Raw genomic sequence first — 15,913 nt, 5'->3', positions numbered from 1 at the left:
AACAGTGCACTGCCCTGCCCTGCAGTAACGCCCCCCACCCCCACAAACTGTATCTGGGGTCAGCTGTTGCTGGGAATAAAAATAATAGGCAGATTCACTCCAGCTTTCAGTCTTTCATTTGCAACCAATCTCCAAGCCCCAGAGCCTGGGGGCCGTGCCTTTCCACCCTTCACGCGGGGCGCACGGATCTGAATATTTAACACCCGGTTCCAGGACACGCGCCTGGGGAACACCCACAATCCCTCGCGGCCCGCGGAGCCCGGCTGGCGGGTGACCCAGCGCCCGCGGCTCCGAGAGGAGCGAGGTCACCCGGCGCTTCCCGAGACCTTGGCCCTAGGCCCAGCTGGCGCTGGGACGCGAGGCAACCGAGCCGCCGGCCAATCAGCGCTTTGCAGGACTAGCACGCAGGGGCCGCACCCCTGAGGGTGACCGGAACCGCTCCCGCGGGAAGGGCAGGGTGCGGCGCCTGGCCGCAGACAGACAAGGGGGCGCCGGCTCTTCAGAACCCCAGGGAGAAAGCGGTGGAGGGCTAGAGTTGAGGAGACTAAGGACATTTGAGGAGGGCAGGCATTACCAAGTTAAAACCTCCTGAAAGACAACTCCATTGGGCGACCGTCTGCGCCGCACAGCCTGACGGGAGCGTCATCCTTCCTGCGCAGGCTGCAACCGACAGACAGGCTCGGCTCCGCCTCCAGCCGCGGGGCACGCGGGGAGAGCCGTTCCTCCCTCCCTCCGCTAACCCGGACAGCAAAGGAGCATTTCCGGCGTAAGACTGTCCCTACGGAAGGGGTGGGGCTAGCTTGGCCCCGTCTTTCACGCCCAGAGGGGGCGGGGTGAACCGTGACAGCGCTTCGGCCCGCACTAAGGCCGGCTCTTGTGCCGGAAGGAGGAAGGCGTGGGCATTCGCCCCTCGGAGCTAGGGAGTGTGTGCGACGCCGCTGCGAGGTCACGTGAGCCACTGCCGGCAGAGAGGGAAAGGGGCGGGGCCCAGAACGAAGCGGGGAGGCGCCCCTTGTTTCCCTGGGGTCACGCGCAGCCGGAAGTGGCGGCTGCTGCGGAGAATTGGAGATGGGGACCGCCCTGGACATCAAGATTAAAAGAGCGAATAAAGTTTATCACGCCGGGGTAAGTGGGGGCTGGGGGTGGGGATGGAGGTGGGGTTGGGCGGGTCTGCAGGTTCCGCTGTCTCCATCGCTCTGCGCACGTCCCGCGTCCCTAGGCGGGGCAGGGCTGTCCCGCCAGGTGCGTCTCCGCCAAGGTGGGTGCGTTCCCGCCAGGTGCGTCCCCGCCAGGTGCTTCCCGCGCGAGGCTGGCTGCCCTGCGAGGAGGCCCCAGGGCAGGCGCCGCCGCCGCATCTGCGGGACGTGCAGGGCAGGCGCCCAGCTCCGGGGCTGCGCTCTTCCCATCTGGCCCCTTGAACACCCGGCGGTGTTGGGTTCTCAGGCTTGAGCTCCCTCAGTGAGCGCTGAGGGCGGAGGAGTTGACGACCAAACTCCCCTTTCCCTCTCTCCTAAGGTGACCGCAAAGGTCTAATGAACGAAAGCTAAAACAAACCTTGGAAGCAGAAATGGGTATGTCTGGCGGCAGCATATATTAGATGGTAGTCACTTTTAACAACATACTAACATACTACGAAAGTTACTGCTTTTTCTGGTTTTATTCTTCGACTGACACAAAGGAATGGCTATTAAAATGCAAGTATAAAAAAGTAAAATCTTGACTATGCCATTAACAGGTTTTGTGACATTGGCCAGTCATTTAACCTCCTTGGGCCTCAGTGTCCTTATTTGCAAATGAGGGTGTTGTAAGGTTCCTCTAACTCGGGGAATCTCAACCCTTACTCTACATCAGAATCAGTCATCCTGGAGAATTTTAAAATATGATTGCTTGGGTTCCACTCCCAGCGATACCGGTGATATATGTGCAGCTAGGGTTGAAATCACAGCCCCAACACTCTTTGGAATAAAATTGATCGCAGTGGTTGGTCATATTAATGCAAAGTAATCTCAAAAGGGACAGAATTTCAGACAAAGGTCTTGGATGGATGCTAAAACTTTTGGGCAAAAGACAACTAGGGAAGCCTGCTCTTATTTACACAAGCTCAAATGGTCATCCCCTTGATGGTTAATTACAAAGGGAAAAATCTGGCCCGCGCGGTGGCTCACGCTTGTATTACCAGCACTTTGGGAGGCCGAGGCGGGCGGATCACCTGAGGTCAGGAGTTCGAGACCAGCCTGGCCAACATGGTGAAACCTGGTCTCTACTAAAAATACAAAAATTAACCGGGCGTGGTGGCGGACGCCTCTAATCCAAGCTACCAGGGAGGCTGAGGCAGAAAAATCGCTGGAACCCGGGAGGCGGAGGCTGCAGTGAGACGAGATTGTGCCACTGCACTCCAGCCTGGGCAACAGAGTGAGACCCCGTCTCAAAAAAAAAAAAAAAAAAAAAAAAAGAGAAAAAGCTACCTTTATAATGGAGAAATCTGGTAGTCACACTCCTCTAGCCAAGCACAACAATGAACACCACTTCACCATCACAACTAATGAGACGACTGACATTCGGTACCCCTTGGCATGATGCACAGAGAAGGCCACAACTCACCTATGTAGTATTCCTGCCAAAAATGTTTAATCCGTATCAGTTCATAAGGAAACAATAAGGAATATCCAAATTGAAGGGCATTCTGTGAAACAAGTAGCGTGGATTCTTCGGAAATATCAGTGTCAAAAAATAAAGGCGAGATAATTTTTCTAGACTATAAGACTAAAGGGACATGAGAACCAAATAGAATGCTTAATTTCTGATAAAATATAAATTCGACTATGGACTATAATTGTTGTATATTGGTGTTGAATTTCTCCAGTGTAATATTTATATTTTGGTTATGTAGAATACTCCACATGCTGAAGTATTTAGGATCAAAGTGTCAAGCCGTAGACTGTGCACATATGTTTATGCACATATGTGTATAGGAGAAAGAAAGTGAATGTGGCAAAATACTAACAATTGCTGAATGAAGTTAAAAGCTACATGGGTCTACTTTGTATTCTTTTTAAAAACAGCTTTATAAAGATAATTTAAAATACGAAATTTACCCTTTGAAAGTATACAATTCAGTAGTTTTTTAGTGTATTTGCAGAGTTGCACACCCATCACCACGATCTAATTCTAGAACATTTTCACCCCAAAAAGAAACCCTGAACCCATTAGCTGTCACTCCTCATTCCCCCTCCCTCCTGACCCCTGGCAGTCACAAATTGACTTTGTCTCTGGAGTTGCCTATTCTTGACATTTCATATAAATGGAATCGTACACTATGTGGCCCTTTTGACTGACAGGCTTCTTTTACTTCGAGTAATGTTCAGTGTTCATGCTTGTCATAGCATGAGTCAGTTCCTCATTCCTTTCTGTGGCTGAATAATATTCCATTGTATGGATAGATCATATTTTGTTTAACCACTGGTCTCTTGATGGACATTGGAGTTATTTCTACCTTTTCGCTATTAATAATGTTATGAACATTCTAGTACAAGTTTTTATGTGAGAGGATGTTTTCATTTCTCTTGGATATATACCTAGGAGTGGATTTTGCTGAGCTACTTTAACTTTTTGAAGAGTTGCCAAATTATTTTCCAAAAATGTCTGCACCACTTTACAGTCTACCAGCACTGTATGACGGTTCCAATTTTTCCACTACTTTGTATTCTCGTAACTTTTCTGGAGCTTGGAAATGTTTCAAAATAACAATGGGAGGGCAGTGACAGGAGACTATATATGCATTTAACTTTAGTATTCATTATTTCATTAACAAGTTAGCATGTTCTCTTCAGAAATGTTACTCCAGCTGGGATGCTGAGATATTTTCTGTGGTTTTAAATATGATACAAGTAATGAAAAGTACATTAGAAAAGACACAAGCAGTGGAATGGTAAAGTTGCCCCAGCAGAAGTCATACACAGCCAGGACCACTTCCTGCGGGTCACAGAGTTGAAGACAGAGTCAGCTCTGTCCCTTAGACTACATCTCCTGGTGCTAGTATAAGGAACAGCATCTGCAATTGATGGCTGAAGGCAGCTTCTCTCAACCTTCAGTCACTTTTTATACTTACATGCATTTTAAAGGAAACCTTATATGGTGAATATAAAAGAAAAACCAGTATAACTTCCAAATAGATGGTTGCTATGTTTTTTTAAAAGGCGACAGAAAAGAGAAAGTTATTAAACTAATTAATCAATTGACAAAAATCTCTGACATGTGTGCCCATGACTCATGTGCTAGACTCCATGATCTGTAATTCAGGGTAGGTGGAGTAGGCAGCCAGCACTGTCATGGCTGTTTTCCAAGCCTCACGTAGCAGGATCCTTGCTGTCTGGTCCTTGAGGAGGCCTCATTGACTGCAGACAGTGCATATGTCACATCTAGTTTGCGCTGTGGTTGTGGGAGAAGCGGCCCTTCTCTCCTATCCTCCTCACCCTTAGCTGGCTGCAATGGAGCTGATAGCATACACATTTTCTCTTTTCTCCGTACATCTCAACAGTGACAGTAAAGATTCAGTTACCAAAGATTTGACTTACCTATGGACCTGCCAGAGCACCATGCCTACAATTCTTATGGGTTGCTTGAGGTGACTGCCACCTACTTTAGCCTGATCCTAAGCAGTACTATCCCAGGCTTGAGGTCATTAAGTGATTGTCTTTCAAGTGAAACGTGTTTGTCAGCGTAAGCACATAAGGCAAGCTTATGTTCCAGCAGAGGTTCTGGGGTAGGGTTTGACAGCCAGGCAGTATCACTCTCATTTTTCTAATGAGGAAATGGTGGCTTAGACAAGTTGATGAATTTCATAACCCAACTAGACAAGTTGAAGAACTTCACCCGACTAATTGGACAGAGTCTGGATTCCAACTCAGATCAGTTCCAGTTCAAAGCATGTCCATTGAACACTCTATTATTCTGCCTCCCTAGGAGTGGCCATTTATGCAAAATGGAGGAATTTGTAATATAGAAATGTTGTTATTCATTTCGTAGGAGTGCTGTGAATAACATTGTGATATTTCAATAAAAAGAGACTGATATGACTTCTACTTTGAATATATGCTGATTCTGTTATTGTGCTTTTCAGTATCTTAGTTGTGGAAGCATTTGAAAATGGCTTGATTCTGTGGACACCAGAGAAACCTAAGTTATACTTAGATTTAAAATTGACCTTTTTTTTAAGAAAAAATACTCACTGACAAAATGATTTTTTAAAAATTACAGTTGAAGCATTTAAAAAATATAAACGTTAAAATGTAATATCCCAGCTGGGTGCGGTGACTCACACCTGTAATCCCAGCACTTTGGGAGGCCGAGGTAGGCAGATCACTTGAGCCCAGGAGTTTGAGACCAGCCTGGCCAACGTGGCGAAACCTCATCTCTACTAAAAATACAAAAATTAGCTGGGTGTGGTGCACGCCTGTAATCCCAGCTACTTGGGAGGCTGAGGTTTGAGAACCACTTGAACCCGGGAGGCAGAGGTTGCAGTAAGCCAAGATCACACCACTGCACTCCAGCCTGGGCAACAGAGCAAGACTCTGTCTCAAAAAAAAAAAAAAAAATTAACGTGCTACAGAAGAAGGTAAAATGAAAAGTGAAGTCTCCTTACTCTTCCTGACTCCCTGTTCTGCCCTTGGACGTATCCACTGATGATTTGTGTAGTGTTCCAGACACACGTGTGCACACACACGCAACTTGTTCTCTTAATAATGTACCTTTATCTTGGATACCTTTTCATATTAACATTTTCATCAGTCCCATTCTTTTTTATATTATTTAATCAATCAGCTTCATTCAGCCAATGTATGTTGATCTCATGAGGGTTACAGGTTAGTAGAGATAGGCAAATATATAAAATAAAAGATGATTAAAAAGATGATCAAGTGCTCAAATAAGAGCATCTGTGATGTATGAAGGAGCATAAAGTAGGGTATAGTCATCTGGGGGGAAAAGGGAGAAGCTGGGGGCCCTTCTGGAGCTTCATCAAACCTAGTTTTGAAAACTGAGTGTTAAACTAAGTGCCCACCATGCACTGCTGGTTTCAGTCATGAGGAATAGACAATGTAAACCTGGTGAAGAAGAGTTTGCAGACATTTGGGACGCAACCTGAGTCCTTTAGACTGTTTCTTTTACTTGGTTGACCAGGTGTTTATAGTTGCTCATCCTCATCTAATCTGGCAGCAACAGCAGTTTTTTAATGTGACTTAGGTTGACTGTCTTTCCAAAATATTTCTGTTTTCTTAGGGTTTATTATGTTCTTTTTTTTTAAACTTTGTAAGTTGGCTGTTCAGCATATTGAATTGTAGCCTCCTTTTTAAAAATGTAGACATTTCCCACTAAGTACTACTCTAAGTAGTACTTCGTACCTTAAGTTTTATTTTTCTTTTTAATAGGTGAGTGAATTATTGTAAGGCAAACCCTTGTAACCCTACCCACATCCTGCTGGAGAGGAGACTGGAAGTAGGATCACTCCATCTAGATTCTGGGAGAAGACCCTGCTCCAAAGGACCTTGATGAGGTTTCATGGTTTGGTAACCTCATGCACTGTGGGAATGTCAGAGGACCCCGAGATAATGCTTCACTGCCAAGTCTGAAAATTGTGTCCACAAGATTTGATTGGTAGTATTTTCTATCATTGTACAACTTAAAATATCTTCTAATTTCCATTTTTTTTTTTGACATGAGTTGTATAGAAATGTGTGCTTCAGTTTCTGTTATAGCAACAACTCTTGTCACCCATAGCCTTACAAAAATTCCTAATTTTAATATTTAAATTTTAGAAACTTTCTTACAAGCAGAATTACAAAAAGAGTAACTAACAAGAAAGTGAGATTGTGATGGGATAACGGAATGTCAAGTCTAATTGTCAGGAAAAGACAAAATAACATGGGAATGACAATCAAAATGGACTAAGGACTTAGAAGATCCGAAACTATGAAGCTACTAAAAGAAACATTGGGGAATGCTCCAGGACATTGGTCTGGGCAAAGATTTCTTGAGCAATACCTTAAAAGGACAGGCAACCCAAGCAAAAATGGACAGATGGGATCACATCAAGCTAAAAAACTTCTACACAGCGAAGGAAACAAAGTGAACAGAATAACATGGGAATGTTTTCTGTAATTTAGTAGTAACTGGCAATAGTTTACAAACACATTTTGTGTATACTGCTGTCATTGCACTGATTACCTTCTGTTGTAGTGACTTTGTTCTATTAGTCCACTCAATTAAAATATTTGGTTTTGTTTATCTTTGTATTCCTGGGCCTGGCAGTACTCACCACTTAATAGGTGCTCAAAAACTTTATTAAATGATGAGTTGAAGCCCTGAAACATTTAAACAAAATGCAGAAGACTGATAATTTTATAAATGCATTGATCAGAAAGGGGAAACTATGGTATTGTAGGCACATTATGGATTTTGCTTCGTAATTATAAATAATATTCTAGGTATCAATTTCAGACAGATGTTGATAAGATTTATTCTTATTTTGACATAGCCCCAGAGCTACACATTGCACCCACCATTACTTGTATTTGCTTTAAAATAGTCATTCTTAAGATCATGATTCAAATAAATTGGGAGTAGAGATTCCAGAATTCCTATAAATATGGTTTTCTCTCTGATTCAGGAATGGAATATAATAGAAAATTGTCCAAGGTTTGATTTTCCAGGGTCTTCATCCCAGTTCCTGTGGCTCAGCGTGAATATAGACCCTTTCTCCAAGCTTGCAGCATTGCTGTTGGGGCACCTTCTCCCTAAGCATCCTTCCACTTGGGTAGAAAACTTCTTTTTTTAAGTATTTTATTAAGATAGAGATGAAATCACGCTATGTTGCCCAGGTCGGTCTCAAACTCCTGGCCTCAAGCAATCCTCCTGCCTTGGCCTGACAAAAGTGTTGGGATTACAGGCATGAGCCACCACACCTGGCCTAAAAACTTGACTTCTGTTTCCAAAGACCCATGGGTGATATGAGATAATCAGGAATTGTGTTAAACATTCCCTAATTCCCTACTTCCAGTGAAAGATTAAATTTCCCATGGAAACACCTAACTAATACTGTTTTATAACTAGGTAGACTAGGATAGCCTTTTCCAGCTCACAGAGTGCTTTAATCCTCCATATACTGTTAAGAGGTAGCGTTTTCTCCGTTTTGTGGTTCAGAAGACTGAGGCCCAGAGAATTCAGGGACATGCCAGGGGGACTGATGATAGCAAATATTTGAAGTTGCATCTTTTTATTCCTAAATCCAGGATTCTTTGTGCCTTCTCTGGGTCTTAATTCTCATCTGTAGAATGGAGATGATACCTACTCAAAGGTTGTATTTTAAAAATTAAATGAGATAGTGTTTTAAGACACTTATCCTAGCTTCCAACACCTCGTGGGGGCCGCAGTAATAGGTGGTGGCATTGTCATGTTCTTTTCCACGCTCCGAAGTCTGTTCACCCTTAGAATTGCCCTTTGTATGCCACAATGCTAGTTACGTTAGTACACCCTCCAAATGGCATAATGAGTGCTTGTCAGATGCTTCACAGATTGTCAAATATGTGCCCACTGTCTATGTCTGCTTGGAGGAAGGAGAGTCAGTGACCAAGGAGAACATACGGAGGTGACGGCGATTTTGGCCGTGAGAGCCAAGTGTGATTTTGGTGTTGCTGCAACTCCTTTGCTTAGTGCAGCAGATGTGTTCTTGATCAAAAAGTTGGACTCAAATGCACTGTAAATTACTTTGTGTCTTGGAACGCTGTAGGGGAGCTTATTGGTTAGAAAAATCCTGCAGTAAATCTTTCTGTAGTGTAAATATAATTCATTTGTTTTTATAAATCCAGAATGTTTTACATTCTTAAATTCTGGCACATGTACTCATGAAAATGACATTGTTAAATATTATGGTTGTGAAAAACATAAATAAGAGATTTACTCCCCAGCATAGCCAGGTTACAGTGAGAAGAAATTTATACACTGTGGACTGAGTACTGTTACCTTAAGAACCTCAATACTACCTTAATTGGGCATGCCCGTAATTTCTTATGAAAAAAAAAGGAGAAACCCTATACATAACAGTTCATTATTATGAAGAAAAATTGCAAAGCTAAAATGCTAGTTTTTTTGTTTTTTTTTTTAAGCTTAAATATTCTACTTTAACCTGCTGGATTCTTAGTAAATGAATGATCAGTTGTAACAGTGAATGCTTGTTGTAAGGACTTAGGGTATAAAAATTTAAATCTCTGAGCCAGAAGAGATCTTAAGGTAATTTTGAGAGGTATGAACCTTTTAGGAATACAGTCATCCAAACTTTAAGTAGGTCTCTTCTTCTGCCAATAACCTAATACTCCTGAAAAAGCTTGTCTGTTAAATCATAACCTAAACTCTTATATAATGCATAAGAAGCATTTTCAGAATTATCCGAGATTGTCTGAAAACTGGGATGCGATCAAAAGTGTTCATGTAGTTCTCCACTTGGTGTTTGTTGCTGCAAATCTTGTACCAGCCTGCGCCTGAGCATGGTAAAGCCTGCTTGACCACCGCGGCGTGTTTCGATACTGGACAGGTCTCAGCCTGCTTTGCACACACTTCACCCCCTGCAAGCTGCTTGCTAGATCTCCCTCGGCCACGGTGGTGGGCTTTTCCTCTGCCTCCTCCTAATGCCGAGTCCCCGGTGCAGACTCGCCTCCGTTATGTCATCTAGGAGTCTACTCCGTGTCGCCAGCCATGCCCTCTCTTAGGCCCGAAACCTGCAGCCTACACCTTCTGCCTGTTAACAAAGGAAGAAAAAAGGAGAAAACTTTATTTTCCAGGTAACAATATGTAGACTGAGGACACGTAGCTTCCAGGAAAACGAAAGCACGGAAGCCTGGGGTCCCCACCGCGCGTTCATCAGGTTCGGGGCGCTGGGAATGCCCGGCGCATGCGCAGAGGTAACACGTCACATCGCATGTTCCTTTTGGCGCCAGGTTTTAACACTGAAAAGAGGGGTTGCGGCTGTGTCGAAAGGTGAATGGCAGGGCACGGAGACGCTTTGTGTGCGCAGTCTCTGTGAAACGGCTGCAACCGGCCTGGGAACTGCAGCGCGGATCAGGAAAGGTTGTTTGCAAGGTGCCTCCTGCGCAATCGGTGCTGCTGCCGGACGCCGGGGCGGAGGCGCCCGGGTCAGTGGCACTCACTGAAGTCACTGGGCAACGTTTTCCTAGAACGGGTTTCTGCTGGCTGCAGGCAGATCTCACGGCAGTTAACCTCGTAGTGTGAGCAGTATGGGGTTATGTGAGCAACCCTTCCCCCTGCTGTGGCCGCTTAGTCTCTTCACGAGGGTCTCATCTCCGCCACACACTGGCCAGCTGGGGCCGCGGGTACCATGTGCAGCGCAGCGCAGGCTGGTGGGCGCTGCCGGCTGGTGGGCGCTGCATGGTGCTTCACTGTCCCCTGCCTCGTGGCCCCGCTCCCCGCTTGGTGCCCCACCCGGAGGCAGCAGAGCCCATCGTTCTGTCTGGACTGTTTCCAATCCAGCTAACGCCGACTTTCCTTTCCGCCGGTCCCTTGCTGCCCCTTTGTCCCCGTCCTCCCACGCCTCTGGTACCCTCGCTCCCCACCCCTTTCCCTCCCCTCCAGTCCTTTCTTCCGCCCGTGCTTGGGGCTGACCATGAGCAAGGCAGGGTTGTGAAAAGCTGGAAGGGGAAGCCAGCTTGCCATTTGCTTTCTGCTTTCATTTCAACCACACTGGAGTTTGTGACGCCCTAACACTCCCCATTTCACGCGTTCCTTTTTTCATCAGGTCGTTGTTATACAGACAGGCAGTGCTTTTACTGCATGTGGCTACACCCCCACCCCAACCCAGTTACTTTTCTAGGTTTAAGCTTCCGTTCAGAAAACAAACTGACTTGTTAGCCATCGGCTAGGTGGGCTGACCTGCGTCCCCTCCCCGAGAGCACACAGGCCAGACGCTTCGGAAGAGCGTGGTCCACACGTCACCTGCGAACAGGGACTCGCCCACGAGAAGCCGCTACGGCCTCAGAGGGAACCTTGCCTGTTTGCCTGTCCAGAGCGCAGGGAGAGGTCAGTTGACCTCAGATCCTGATCCTTTTTTACTTTTTCCAGAACATTTTCTAGATCAGTTGTTTACAGACCTCATTTTGGGAAACCGCACTTCCTATTTTTACATATATTTGCTTTTTTTTGTTTGTTTTTTTGTGTTTTGTTTTTTTGAGACAGAGCCTCACTCTGTCACCCAGGCTGGAGTGCAGTGGTACAGTCTCAGCTCACTGCAGCCTCCACCTCCCAGGCTCAAGCGATTCTCCTGCCTCAGCCTCCCGAGTAGCTGGGATTACAGGTGCGTGCTACCACGCTTGGCTAATTTTTTATTTGTAGAGACAGGGTTTCTGCATGTTGCCCAGGCTGGTCTCAAACCCCTGGGCTCAAGCGATCTTCTGGTCTCAGCCTCCCAACCACCATGCCCAACTCCATATTTACATTTTTAAATTATAAAATGGTAAAACTTTATTATCAGGAATAAAAGAAAAAAGTATGTCATACAAACGCAAATATGTAAAGATGTAATTTTTGTAAAGTACTTCTTCTTGTCCTCTAACTTAGCTACACAGAACACTTTATGGACATGTTTACATGGTGAGCAGCCATGAAAAAGACTGCCTGGGCTTTTTACTCTCTGTAATAGAGAGCTTGTGCCGTCACTTGTTGGCAGAAAACAAATCCAGGCTCAGAGAAATAGTGCCTTTCCAAGGTGATAGAAAATAGATTTTACCTTTCATCTGGTAAGTTACAAATGGTTGTTTCCTTATAAATAAGTCAATAAAATGAACATCGTTTAGCATAAAGATTTTCCAAAAAAGCAATGAAACCCTTTTATTAAATGAAGTCTTATATAAAATTCTAATGTCAATTTTAATAATACATATTAAAATACTTTATTTTATAAACAGATAAAAGCAGAGCTGTTCTACTTTAAGTGAGAATATCTATTTCCTCCCTCCCTTCCCTGACTCTTCCTCACATCCCAAAGTGGCTGCTGAGGTGTCTTCACAGGCCTACGGCCAGTGGTTCTCTTGTAAAGTATTAGTTATAGGATGTTGTGACTAGCAAGAGGCAACAAAGTTGAAGTTTTTTCATGCCAACCCATTTAATTTGGTCCTGTGTCAAAACTTACAAGTTCTGTTAGCTTTCAGATATAATACAGTGCCTAGGGCCGGGCACGGTGGCTCATGCCTGTAATCCCAGCACTTTGGGAGGCCGAGGCAGGCAGATCACCTGAGGTCAGGAGTTCAAGACCATCCTGAACAACATGAAGAAACCCTGTCTCTACTAAAAATACAAAAATTAGCCTAGTGTGGTGGCGGGCACCTGTAATCCCAGCTACTCAGGAGGCTGAGGCAGGAGAATCACTTGAACCTGGGAGGCGGAGGTTATAGTGAGCTGAGATTGCACCACTGCACTCCAGCCTCTATCTAAAAAAAAAAAAAAAAAAAAATGCAGTGCATAGAATGAGGCTTTAAATATTTTGCCTTTATTTACTGGAGCATTTAAGCCAAAAAGGTACAGACCCACCAGTTTACTGACTATCCTTTGATAGTTTCTGCCATTTTCCTCCTGGAGAATTTACTCAGCTGGGGCTCTTGGACTAGCAGTCTCAGCAAAAGCTGGTGGGCTCTGGAGACCTTCACTGTTGTCCTACTTACTTGTCCTGGGAACTTGAGCTGGGAAGGACAACATGAGATTGTGGCCCTTTTGCTTCTGATAGGAACAAGCTGTCCTGACCCTGGATTACTGATGCTCAGACAGAATTGACCTCTGGGTAGCTGTGAGGGTTACACCTGCTGTGTGTGCTCTGATCCGTTGGGCAGGTCTCTGGTGGCCAGTAGCATTGGCTCACATGCTTTCCAGTGATGGTCGCGGTCCCTTCATCCTCACTACCGTTCCCCCATGACAGTGTCTTATTTACGTTTATGGTTTTACTGTCACATGCCAGGCATGATTTCAGCCCAAAATTAGCTCTTCCTTTGTTTTATCAGAAAGAATTATTTAAGACAATTTCTCTAAAACCCAAATCTTCACCTTTGGGAAAGGAGCAGCAAGCAGTCCTGTCAATGGAAAATTAGGAACCGATGGGCAGAAATCCCATTCTTCAGTAATCATCAGGAAAAAAACTAAGCTTTTTCTAATCTAAAAAAAATACAGTCATGATAGTTTGACCGTGTGTTTCAGATTTTAAAAAACCATTTTGTAAATTGAAAATATATATTTTTACTTGCTAAGAAAATGCAACTAATACAAAAGAATGTCTTCTGCCCCTTCTCCTCTGCTGCCCCATGAACAGTGCCCAGAATTAACCACATGACATTCTCTGCATCTCACAGTAGTTTCATAGAGCAGCCTTAGGTGATCTGTCCCCAGAGCCTACCCTGGATTAACCTGAAGCAGAGACCCTGTTCCGTACTGCTTAATTAACACGTGATCTACCCTACAGTGCTCTTTTTGCTGAGCTCTTTTTTTCTTTTCTTTTATTTATTTTTTTTTTCTAGACAGAGTTTTGCTCTTGTCACCCAGGCAGAATGCAATGTCTCAGCTCACTGCAGCCTCTGCCTCCTGGTTCAAGCAATTCTCCTGCCGCAGCCTCCCAAGTAGCTGGGATTACAGGTGCCCGCCACCATGCCTGGCTATTTTTTGTATTTTTAGTAGAGATGGGGTTTCATCATGCTGGCCAGGCTGGTCTTGAACTTGTGACCTTAGGTGATTCCCCTGCCCCAGCCTCCCAAAGTGCTGGGATTACAGGCGTGAGCCACCGCACCCAGCCTGAGCTCTTTCTTTCTTTACTTACTTGTTTTAGAGATGGGGTCTTGCACTGTTACGCAGGCTGGAGCACAGTGGCACAATCATAGCTCACTGCAGCCTTAAACTCCTGGTTTCAGGTGATCCTCCCATCCTAGCCTCCCAAAGTGGGTTGGGATTACAGTGCGAGCCACCCCACCTAACCGTGCTCTTGCTTTCTAACAAGGGCCCTTTAGGCTGTTAGCCTCATTTGCTGCTAGACTCATCTCTTGTCCTCTACTCTGAAGTTTGCCTGCATCCTGGCTTGGATTTGAATGCTGCACTATCGTGATTCATACATGATTTCACTCTGGGATTTCAATCTGCTGGCTCTTTGGTTGTTCATATATAAGTGTGGGCTGGCTCTACAGAGCATTTTCTTTGGCGGACTCCCTGTGTTCCACGGTCATTACTTTGGCCTGTAATTATGCCAATTCCAGGCTCCTTTGTAATTGGAGCCCTCCTAAATGTTTGGTTTATAGTCTGGAGTCTTTACATGCACTTATGCCAGTAGTTCCAAACGAATGTCAACTTTGTAAACCTACAAGTTGGAATGTTATTTCTTGAATAGTCCTTATCCGAAATGCTTGGGACTAGAGGTGTTTTGGATTTTGGAATTTTTTCAGATTTGGAGTATTTGTAGATATTTAATGGTTGAGCATCCCTAATCCAAAAATCCAGAATCCGAAATGCTCCAGTGAGGGTCTTCTTTGAATGTCATGTCAGTGCCCAGAAAGCTTTGGACTTTGGAACGTTTCAGATTTCAGATTTTCAGACTAGGGATGCTCCATCCTATTGAAATCTGAAATCAGGTAGTCTCTATTAACATAATTTTGTTAATATGTGCTATCTAACTCCTGAAGCCACGCAACACACCATGATTAGAATTTAATACTCTGCTGCTAAAGATCCTGCATATACTTACTTTTATTAATGTTTACTTTTTATGAATAGTATTTTTCCCTTTCTTTTAAACTTTTGTTCAGTGGCTTCAGTTTCTTTTCCAGGCTCTCAAGAAAGTTTCAGATTTTGAAGTTTCACATCACACTATTGGACAGTATGCTTTTTGTCAGCCCATTTTACTTAGTATTGACGCCTGTGTGTATACTATACCATACGTAGAAGGAACCAGCTATGTTTTACCATGTTGGTTCTGCCCCAGAATGTGATACTAAAACATAAGCCCCCAGAGCATGGGCTTCACCTGTTGTGTTCCCTGCCATGTCCAAGTGCCTAAAACAGTGTCTGATACAGCAAGCATGCCAAAAAAGTTGTCAAATGATGGTATTATTTCTCTATATTGGCAGCACATGTATGTAAGCCATGTAAATTGATATCTTGTTATTTTGTTACAGTTTCATTGCTAGTGAACTAACTTTTGTAGATTTTACTTAAACATTAATCAATTTTAGAATATGACTCAATTGTCCAGAAAGTAATATAACTATTTCCTCCTATACGTGATAATTTCTGTGTTTTTTAAAAACAGGTATAATTACAAACAGTAGATGACTCTTTTCAGTATAAAGTTCCTTGAGACTGTAGCCACCCACAATTCAAGATATGGAACAGATCTGACACCCCCCAAATTCCCCTGTGCTCCTTTGTAGCCCCTGTTTTCAGTCCCTATAGTTTGCTTTTTCCAGAATGTCACGTAACTGGCATAAATATGATTATGTGCTTTGTAGCCTTTGAATCTGGCTTTATCATTAGCGTAATGCATTTCGTTCGGATTCATCCAGGTTGTGTGTTAATAGTTCATTCGTTTTGATGGCCGAGTTGTCCACCCTTGCATAGATGTATCACAGTTTGTTCATCTATTCACCTGTAGAAGACGTTTGGGTGATGATGAATAAAGCTCCCAGAAGCACTTGGGCATGATTTTTGTGTGAACATAGCTTTCATTTCACTTGGGTTTTAAAATCTAGGAATGGGGTTGCTGAGTGGCATTGTCTTAGTTTGTTTGTTTGTTTGTTTGTTTCTGTACCAGGAAATGAACTGCATTGGAGTATCTCAGTTTAAATGATAGTTTGGAGATAGTGTATTCCATGCAAAATTCTCTTTC

The 15,913-nt window shown here is 44.1% G+C and overlaps 1 protein-coding gene across 6 annotated transcripts in view, besides 8 other annotated features; it reads left to right on the top strand.

Moving 5' to 3' along the window:
• Positions 224-383: a silencer, noted in NCBI's record as "silent region_13300". NCBI's record gives its function as "represses an Ori minimal core promoter by ATAC-STARR-seq in GM12878 lymphoblastoid cells {active_cell/tissue: GM12878}" and the evidence as "EXISTENCE:reporter gene assay evidence [ECO:0000049][PMID:35858748]".
• Positions 255-15,913, top strand: part of VPS26C (VPS26 endosomal protein sorting factor C) — a 44,689-nt gene continuing 29,030 nt past the window's right edge. For 5 of the 6 annotated variants that reach the window (XR_007067776.1, NM_001331018.1, XM_047440658.1 and 2 more), the window contains 1 exon segment: positions 255-1,125. Coding sequence is in view for 5 of the 6 variants with exons in the window: in NM_001331018.1 (NP_001317947.1) it covers positions 1,069-1,125 (57 nt within the window). In the remaining variant the exon portion in view is untranslated. 6 annotated transcript variants of the gene reach the window in all.
• Positions 924-983: an enhancer, noted in NCBI's record as "active region_18449". NCBI's record gives its function as "activates an Ori minimal core promoter by ATAC-STARR-seq in GM12878 lymphoblastoid cells {active_cell/tissue: GM12878}" and the evidence as "EXISTENCE:reporter gene assay evidence [ECO:0000049][PMID:35858748]".
• Positions 1,124-1,433: a silencer, noted in NCBI's record as "silent region_13299". NCBI's record gives its function as "represses an Ori minimal core promoter by ATAC-STARR-seq in GM12878 lymphoblastoid cells {active_cell/tissue: GM12878}" and the evidence as "EXISTENCE:reporter gene assay evidence [ECO:0000049][PMID:35858748]".
• Positions 9,704-10,296: an enhancer, noted in NCBI's record as "H3K27ac-H3K4me1 hESC enhancer chr21:38630368-38630960 (GRCh37/hg19 assembly coordinates)". NCBI's record gives its function as "activates a minimal SCP1, AML or CMV promoter by ChIP-STARR-seq in naive and primed H9 embryonic stem cells {active_cell/tissue: H9 hESC(naive and primed)}" and the evidence as "EXISTENCE:reporter gene assay evidence [ECO:0000049][PMID:30033119]".
• Positions 10,285-10,564: an enhancer, noted in NCBI's record as "active region_18448". NCBI's record gives its function as "activates an Ori minimal core promoter by ATAC-STARR-seq in GM12878 lymphoblastoid cells {active_cell/tissue: GM12878}" and the evidence as "EXISTENCE:reporter gene assay evidence [ECO:0000049][PMID:35858748]".
• Positions 10,285-10,889: a biological region, named in NCBI's record as "H3K27ac-H3K4me1 hESC enhancer GRCh37_chr21:38629775-38630367".
• Positions 10,297-10,889: an enhancer, noted in NCBI's record as "H3K27ac-H3K4me1 hESC enhancer chr21:38629775-38630367 (GRCh37/hg19 assembly coordinates)". NCBI's record gives its function as "activates a minimal SCP1, AML or CMV promoter by ChIP-STARR-seq in primed H9 embryonic stem cells {active_cell/tissue: H9 hESC(primed)}" and the evidence as "EXISTENCE:reporter gene assay evidence [ECO:0000049][PMID:30033119]".
• Positions 10,975-11,074: an enhancer, noted in NCBI's record as "active region_18447". NCBI's record gives its function as "activates an Ori minimal core promoter by ATAC-STARR-seq in GM12878 lymphoblastoid cells {active_cell/tissue: GM12878}" and the evidence as "EXISTENCE:reporter gene assay evidence [ECO:0000049][PMID:35858748]".

The sequence above is a fragment of the Homo sapiens genome, chromosome 21 (assembly GCF_000001405.40).
Source record: "Homo sapiens chromosome 21, GRCh38.p14 Primary Assembly".
NCBI lineage: Eukaryota > Metazoa > Chordata > Mammalia > Primates > Hominidae > Homo > Homo sapiens.
Note: the sequence above shows the minus strand (reverse complement) of the source record. Positions and strands in the feature narration are given on the sequence as shown.